This window comes from Homo sapiens, chromosome 20, assembly GCF_000001405.40.
Source record: "Homo sapiens chromosome 20, GRCh38.p14 Primary Assembly".
Taxonomy (NCBI): Eukaryota; Metazoa; Chordata; class Mammalia; order Primates; family Hominidae; genus Homo; species Homo sapiens.
This window is the reverse complement of record NC_000020.11, coordinates 60,721,924-60,731,287: the sequence shown is the minus strand read 5'-3', so window position 1 is coordinate 60,731,287 and position 9,364 is coordinate 60,721,924. Positions and strand designations below refer to the sequence as shown.

The window sequence follows — 9,364 nt, the reverse complement described above, 5'->3', positions numbered from 1 at the left end:
CTCAAATAGCTCTACAATAAACCTGAAATGAGTGATGGTGAATGATGATGGTGCCTATGGTGGCTTCTACCCATTGACCACTCTTTAACCTGGCATTTGCTTGGAAGAAATGCATACTCTTCCCCATGACATCATTCAGAAATTAGACAGTTCTCACAGTAACCTGTGCAACTCCTTTTAGAGGGAAAAGAAAAAGCTATCTTTCTAATCTCTTGTCTACACAGGCTGATCGTATTTACCATTGTAACTGGATCAACAGATGATTCAATAACTGTTTGGCTCAACCCCAGTGTTGGTTAAGTCAATGTCTCCACGCAATTATCTTTTGAATGAAAATAAGAGCCTCTCCTTGGATAGACATTCCTCAGGCCAGGGTCCTTACAGAGTGCTTTTTCATCCTATGAGTAGACTCACTCTGGGGTCTCATGGAGCAGGAAGATTGGATAAGCACAGGCTCCAGAGTTGGCAGCTGCAGAGATGCATCTGTTCTGAATGATAGAGAACTGCAACGTTGATGTCAAAGTGTAAACGTCCGCTTCAGTTAGACTCAGTAGAAACTCATTTAGCACGTGTTGAGGAACCAGCTCAGTGCCAGCCAGTATTTGTAAATGTAAAGAACCAACTGTGATCTCACATGATCCACTCTCTCTGAACACCATAACTAACCACAAGAACACACTGATGTTGGGCGTGGTGGCTCACGCCTCTAATCCCAGCACTTTGGGAGGCCGAGGCGGGTGGATCACCAGAGGTCGGGAGTTCAAGACCAGCCTGACCAACATGGAGAAACCCCGTCTCTGCTAAAAATACAAAATTAGCTGGGCGTGGTGGTGCATGCCTGTAATCCCAGCTACTCCAGAGGCTGAGGCAGGAGAATTGCTTGAACCTGGGAGGTGGAGGTTGCATCATGCCATTACACTCCAAGCTGGGCAACAAGAGTGAAACTCCATCAAAAAATAAAAATAAAAAAAAAACACACAGCAAAAAAAGAACACACTGAGACTTTTTTTTTTTTCACTGCCAGATGGAAATAGTGATGCACACATCATGCTGTTGGGAGATCGAGTGACAGGATGAATGGAAACTGCTCCACACCATGCCTGGCATGTAGGAATAACTCAATAAACTATATTTAAATAATGAAATTAAGTGTGTTTTCCATCTGATAACCTGTCACGCAAACATGGCTGAACCCATTTTCAGAAAGCTTCAAATATATTTGGAATAGTCTGAGTTAAAATAGAAGCCATGTGATGGATTTTAAAAAATGCAGGCCTTTGGAGATAGCACCTAAGGAGGGAGGTGGTGATCTTATAGAGCGGTGGTCCCCAAGCTTTTTGGCAACAGGGACCAGTTTCATGGAGACAATTTTTCCATGGACGGGGTTGGGGAGGATGGTTTCAGGATGAAACTGTTTCACCTCAGATCACCAGGCATCAGATTCTCATAAGCAGCGCACAACCTAGATCCCTTGCATATGCAGTTCACAATAGGGTTCATGCCCCTATGAGAACCTAATGCTGCTGCTGATCTGATAAGAGACGGAGCTCAGGAAGTAATCCTCACTTGCCTGCCACTCACCTCCTGCTGTGTGGCCCAATTCCTAACAGGCCTCAGACCGGTACTGGTCAGCAGCCCAGGGATCTGCATACTACAGCTTGTGGGCCAAATAGGATTAATGTCTGTTTTTGTAAATAAAGTTTCACTGGAACACAGCTGTGTTCATTCATTTGCATATGGTCTATGGTTCCTTTTGTGCTACATTGCACAGATGAGTAGTTACGACATTGTAGCCATATGGCATTCAAAGCCAAAGATATTTACTCTCTGGCCATTTACAGTTTGCTGGCCTCTCCTATGGCACAGCAGAGACTGAAGCCGACTTAAAGGCTGGGTCACTGCTAACTGGGGAAATGAGCCCTGCAGGCTTAACCACTGTGGACAGATATGTAAGGGTTGGTTTATTAAAGTGGGAGCCCCAGACGTTCCTTATTGCAGGCCGTGCCTTGCAGTTGAGCTGCTTCTCAATTGGGCAACTCCATGTAGGGTGTTTCAGGATGAGCAGCAGAGGGGATTTGTTTAACAATAGTTAATGCAGATTTCCATTGATTCAGTTGTTTTTTGATATGTTGAGCACCTGAGAAGTGCTATGTCCCAGGGACACAGCAGGGAAATAAACTGAATTCATGCTTCCATGGAACTCATATTTCACCATGGGAAAGTCACAAGCATGCATGTGAAGTGCTGGAGACACAAAAAAGCATGTATCAGTGTGAAGAAGAAGAATATAAATCCCAGGTACTGTATTAGATCGTAGAGGTTCTATTCAAGGAAGGCCTCACCACAGAAATGCCATTGAGGAGAGAAGAGAGGAAACTAGCCTTGGAAATGCGGGATACTGGCATTCTTCAGGACAGAAGGAGCAGCACACTTAAGGGCATGAAATAGGAAACGTGTTTTATTTAAGGAAGAAGATCAGGCTCATTACCACTCACTGCACAAAGGAAAGAGTAATGAGGTTCAGACTTACGCTGGCCAAGTAAGTAAGCAATGAGGTTTATGTTTTATTTTAAGGGCACTGGAAGCCTCTGAAGTATTTGTGCTCCAAAAGGATGCCTCCGGCTCAGTTTGGAGAATAAACTACATGAGTCAATATAACCCACCTGTGGAATAACAGACGACTTCTGAATTGTGAGTTTAATTCATACGTTTTTCCTGAGCATTGACTGCATGCCAGTCACAATTCTTGCCATGACTTCATAGACTATATAACTCTTCCAGCAGAAGGCTGAAAAGAAGGTTGCTCACACACATCTCGCAAGAAGTAAAAGCTCAACAATCTACAAAGTCAGAATGTTACTTAAACCCATCAGAGAACTGAGATTGCAGGGCAATCAAGTAGCCTGAAATACAAGGGACAAAAAGTCAAATCCAAGGGAGATGAGACATGATTACTGGCTCACCTGTGGCAGAGCACACAAGTAAGATGGGGCTGCCATGCAAACAGGTGAGCAGAATTGAGTGTAAATTGCTAAAAACGAAGTGTAGAATATCCTGAGGGACACAATGGGCATGCACTTACTTGCAGATTCCTTTCCGTTGACCTCCACCAGGAGCTCAGGAGAAAGACTGGGAAAGAGAGGCTAGAGAAAGCCTCCCTTAGGGGTGCAGGCTCATAGAAGTGAAATGGCTACCATGGAGTGACACAATGTCCTGCCTGAATCCTCCTCCTCTACAAATGTCTTAAGATGCTTCAGGAGGGGCAGCAAACCTTGTTGACCCCTGAGTACAGGTGGAAACTCATTATGACTGAGAGGAAGAGAAAATAAGAAACATTTTACCCTTTGGGAAGTGGCAGGCATCCATCCTAGGCATGGACCATAACAGGCGTTCTGGTGGTAAGAGAGGGGCAGGATCTCTGAGACAGCCCCACCCTCAAAACCCAGGGATATCAAGATTTTCTGAGACTAAGGGTTGATCAGGACAGCATAACTGCTCCCCACCCCTGGCTAACAAGCACAGAGAAATAAGAAATAGAAGTCTACCATCAGAGAAGGGTAAGGGCATGGAGGAGACTCTTTGTGATGTGCAGGCATCCAGGGAAGTCCCAAAGTGAGGGTGAGTAGTATCGTTAAGAAAAGCCCTCCAGTAAACCAGCCCCCACTGGAAGCATGAGGTAATGCCAGAGTTATGTAAAGCCAGTAACCATAGTAGCAACAAAACCCACACTTAGCTCAACTCCTGGCTAGAGAGGCTCAACTCTAGCCCCAACAGTCTATCAAAAGTTGCATGCCCACATCAGGCATAAATATTATTTACATCAATCTCCATTGTTCTACACATGCCATTTACAGGTAAACAGCATTCAAGTGTAAAAAAAAATGTTATGACACACAGAGAGGACACTTATTTAAAATTATTTTAAAAGAAATACACATACTCAAACTGCTGAAAACCAAAGATAAATAGCAAACCTTAAAGGAATCCAAAGAAAAATTGACACATTATATAGAGGGGGAAGAAAGAGAAAATACATAAGACTTATCATCAGAAACTATGCAAGTCAGAAGACAATAGAGTAAAATTCTTAAAAAGCTGGAAAGAAAATTGTCAACCCAGAATTCTATACCTAGTATAGATGGCTTTCAATAATGAGGGATAAATATTTTTTGAACAAATAAAAAACTTAGAGACCTTATTATCAGCTATCTTGCAGTAAGATTAGTGTGCCAGGAAATTCTTCTGACAAAGGGAATATGACTTACAAACTTGGATCTACAGAAAGAAATGAAAACCTCCAGAAATGGTTAAAATGAATATAAATACAAAATATAGTTTTCTTAGTTTTAATCACTCTGAAAGGTAATTGTCAAAAACAAAAACAGTAGCAGTGCATTATGGATTTATAACTATGTAAAAGTAAACTGTGTGACAATACATTTTATATTATCACAAAAGATGGAGAGGAGACATCGGAATTATACAGCTGTAAGATTTCTTATACAGCATGTGAAACACTGTAACATTATTAGAAGGTAGACTGTAATTAATTAAAGGTGTGTATTGTAACCCTTAGGGCAATCATTAAAACTTTTTAAAAAGAGTTACAAAAGAAGAACTCTGTGATCCAGCCTTGGACTGGCCTCATGCCACTGACTTCTTGCTGGCCATGATCCGGGCGCACTCGTCTACTGTGCACGCTACCAGTATGTTCCAAGCTCAGGTCATCGCAACTACTGTTCTCTTTTTCTGAAACAAGCTTTATTGCCTCTTCACATGCCTAGTTCCTTGTCATAATTCAGATGTGTTATCATTTCATCTCATTAGAAGTGACTTTCCAGGCTACACTAAGTAGATCCCACCTAGTCATATTCTATCCCATGACCCTGTTTTATTTTCTTCATAACTTTATTTATTTACTTCTGTTCTGCTGCTTCCCACCATGAGAAGGGAAGATGCAAAGAGGTCAGACAGAAGCCTGCCTTATTTACCTGGTATCCCCAGTGCCTGAATTGTGACTGGCATCTCAAACACAATTATTAAGTACTCACCAACTTTTTGAAAGAATGAATGAGCACTGTGTCGGTGAGTGATGCATGAAGGTGACTGGATAGAGTAGGTCCTGCTCAGGACCCTAACAGAAAAACTGTATGTTTAATTTTGTAGGTAAGAAAAAAAAAACTGAGGGTGAATTTTGTGTTTGACCTTAGAAGATAAACAGAAGTTTGCTATAACTGATACAAAAAAAAGTCTATTTCAGGCAAAGACATGGAGACATGAAATCCAATAGTGTGTAAAAGGATTATAAGAAGCCCTGGTTACTGAAATTTGCATCAAACATAAGAGGAGATGCTGTCATCTTGAATTGGGGCATTAATGAGAGGGCTTGGCTGTCTTGTTTAGGGATTTTGACATTGTCCTGCAGGCACTGGGGAATCATAAATGTGTTTCATCTTCGATATAACATGATAAGATCAGTGTTAAAAAGAATGTTATGACTATTGCATAGAAAAGACTAACAGGTGATGAGCATAAGACCTTTTAGAGGCTCCTACAAGAGTAAAGGTGAAAGATGCTGACTCAGTGAGTAAAGAGATGGTGGAGGAAAATGGAATTGAAAGATTAAGGAGGCGTAATCAAGGATTGTTGACTCATTCAATGTGGGTGAGGAAGAGTGAAATGTCAAAGATTTATCTGAAGACTTAAGCTGGAGAGACTGATGATGTTGCAGTATCAGTTAGTAAATTAGTAGGGAATCTTTTTGGAGGAGGAGGGGAGGATGATGAGTTTAGGTTTCCATAGATGCTTTTGAGCTTCCTGTGGGAGGATCAGGTAGAAGTGGCTCGTGGGTAGTTAGAAATAACTGTTTGAGGTTAAAGAGGCAGCTATTACTTAAGATCTAAAGTGAGAATCAGCAACATGGAGGCTTCTGTCATTGTTATAAGATTAGAAACGATAAAGCAGGGAGAGATAGATAGAAAAAGAGTAGAGAATGGCATTTGCACTTTTGCATTTTCCCCAAAACTATAAATAACTGGATTTCTTACTTTCCCTCTAGTCTGTAACAATTTAATAGATCTTCTCTTACTTTTGAAATAAGCATGTCACAAAGAAAATATGCAAATATGTCCACATGTAATTAAATATTTCCCCAAGAAAGTCAAATTACTTTTTAAAAATCAATTTTTTTTTCTGCAAGTTGCTATAGTTGCTGATTTCTTTGAAATATTGTTCATACTGTATCTAGTACAATGTCTTTTCCTCAGAGGGTGCTCCGTAAATGTTAGATGATAATAATTATATGCATCACAAAAACAGCACTGCGTGGAAAACCACCAGCTATTGAATTCCATAATGTCAAAGTTTTAGAATAAAAAAAGAAACTTGTTCTTCCTTTATATTATAACATTGGATCAAAATCACAGGTTTCAAACAGAATAATAAAAGCAATTTCCTATGATGTAGGTAAGAAGGAAAATAGCATTTATTGAATAGTTCCTATATGCCTTGCATTGTGTTGATATAGATAGAGAAATATCCATATATAGATGCAGAGATACAAAACCTATACCACAGTGTCAGGTGATTATTTCTAAACGGTGGCATTTGCAACTGGTTATCTCTTTCACTTGATAAACAATATTTTCTTTCAAAAAAGTTTCTAATGAACATGCACTTTTATTAAAATACACTTAATTCCTTCCTTCCTTCTCCTTCCCTCTTCGTCCTTCCTTCCTTGCTTCCTTCCCCCTTCCTTCCCTCCATTTCCTTCCTTCCTTCCCTCCTTTCCTCTCCTCTCCTCTCCTCTCCTCTCCTCTCCTCTCCTCTCCTCTCCTCTCCTCCCTTCTCCCACACTACAATGGGCTCACATCAGATTCTGTATCAGCATATTTTAGTATACTCTACTTCCTGAATTTGCCCTGGGAACATAATGGGAACTGTCCTGTTATATTTATGCTCTGCTCTGGAATCTTGTGATACATACTTCACATTTTCCTTGATCTTCTTGTCTAAGACTTTTTCTTGTGGGAGCTATTTGCCTGAAAGGACATCTAACTCAAACCCTGAATTGCTTTTTCTTTGTGTAACATTTGTGCTATTATGAATATGGCACATACAGAAAAGAGTAAAAATGTTAAATGTACATCTCAGTGCTTGGTCACAAAATGAGCCCCCAGTACATCACCACCCAGATAAAGACATAGATTATTTCTACACCCCGAAGTCCCCTCTCGCCCCACCAAATCACTTTCTCCCCACTCTCAGGAGTGATTTTGCTATCCCATCTTTAATGATAATCCCTTCTTTCCTTTTCTTTAAAGTTTTATCATACAAGCACACTACTGTAATATTACAGTTTAGTTTTAAACATACGAGATGAAAAGAATAGCATAGTTCATATTCTTTTGAAGTCTGGCTTCATTGGCTCAGTGTTTTTTTTTGTTTTGTTTCGTTTTTTGTTTTTTGTTTTTTGTTTTTTGTTTTGAGATGCAGTCTCGCTCTGTCACCCAGGCTGGAGTGCAGTGGCATGATCTCAGCTCACTGCAGACTCTGCCTCCTGGGTTCATGCCATTCTCCCGCCTCAGCCTCCCAAGTAGCTGGGACTACAGGCACCCACCACCACGCCTGGCTAATTTTGTGTTTGTATTTTTAGTAGAGATGGGGTTTCACCGTGTTAGCCAGGATGGTCTCGATCTCCTGGCCTCGTGATCTGCCCACCTCAGCCTCCCGAAGTGCTGGGATTACAGACATGAGCCACTGCGCCCGGCCGGCTCAGTGTTCATTTTTGAGATTCATCCATCCATGCTGTTGCACATGGCTACAGTTCATCCCTTTTTCTTTAATGTATAAAAAATACCTACTTGAGGAATAGTAAAATAGTAGTCATAATATTGGTGTAGCTTCAAATACAGAACACTATTACAAAGTGGTTGTTTCAGTTTATATCCCTACCAGTAGTATGTGAGTTCCTCTTCCTCCATATCCTGACCTGTATCTTTGTATTTTAGTCTTTTTAATTTTAGCCCTTCTGGTGAGTGTAAGAGGTACCTCATGTTGCTCTCATTTTGCATTTTTTGACTGCTAATAAGGTTGAGACATTTTCATACATGTATTAGCCATTTGACTATCCTCTTTTGGAGGAGCCGATTCAAGTCTTCTGCCTGCTTTTCTGCTAGGTTGTCCATTTCAGTATTGATTTGAAAGAGGTCTTTATGTATCTCCTACTCTTCTAGAATAGTACCTCTTCATAGGTGAGATGTAAATATATTTTTCAACCTAGGGGCTTCACTTATTTCAGTGTGTCTCTTGAAGGAATGAAATTCTTAATTTTAATATAATCAAATTTAGAAATCTTTTCCTTTATGACTGGTGTTTTTTTTTTTTGTTTTACTACTCTGGGATTTGAAAAACAATGTCCTAACTTCTGAGGTAATGAAAATATTCTCCTGTTTGAGGGTCTCCATGGTTCTACCTTTGACATTTAGGTCTGTGATCCACTTCGGCTGGTTTTTAGTGTGGCATAATATAGAAATCATGCTTCCTTTGTGCCTTACGTGGACATACACTTTATCCACCACTGTGTATTTGACTAGACTCAGCTCTGTAATGCCACCTTTATTTTAAGTCCACTGTCCACATAGGTGGGGCATGCTCCAGACTCTAGATTGTATCCAGTGGCCTGCTTGTCTATCTTTACAGAAGTTTCCTTTCTTTTTTTTTTTTATACTGACCACTTCTCTTCTCATTATATTTTTCTTACATCCTCGAGCAACTGAAGCATGTTTGTAATAGTTGTATTAACCTCCCCGTATGCAAATCTTATCATCATTGTCATTTTGGGGTCTGTTTCTGTTGAGTGACTTTTCTCCTGGTTACAGGCCACCTTGTCTGCTCCTTTAGATATCTAATAAGTTTTATTAGTGTTCATCATTCTAGATTAAAGTTTAAAATATTGATGAACTATATATGAATTATAGGAAAGGCATTTATTAATTATCCTTAGAAGATTTTCAGTGAATGAAGGAAAGTGAATATAATTTCTGAACTAACAGATAGAAAACTGGATATTGTACAATAGGGTAGGAAAATGGGCCGCACGAGAAGAGGAATTAGCAAGTTGAGCCCTAAGATTGCCCAAGCTCTCTGCTAAAAGCAAATTTCAGACTACAAAACAGGGAGTAGTGGCTCACACCTAGCCTGATGATTTTGCTAAGTTGAGGAGACAGAGTTGGTGGGGATGTAATTGGCTTGAAATTGAGGGACAGAGGACTTGAAAGAAGGGAGCTGCACACAGAAGAGGTCCAGAAATCTGCAGAGGGGTTCCCTTGAGAATTGGCTGCAAACAAAATATGTATATGTAGGA

General features: G+C 40.3%; 1 annotated feature.

Moving 5' to 3' along the window:
- Nucleotides 2,278-2,956: an enhancer, noted in NCBI's record as "OCT4-NANOG-H3K27ac hESC enhancer chr20:59303390-59304068 (GRCh37/hg19 assembly coordinates)". NCBI's record gives its function as "activates a minimal SCP1, AML or CMV promoter by ChIP-STARR-seq in primed H9 embryonic stem cells {active_cell/tissue: H9 hESC(primed)}" and the evidence as "EXISTENCE:reporter gene assay evidence [ECO:0000049][PMID:30033119]".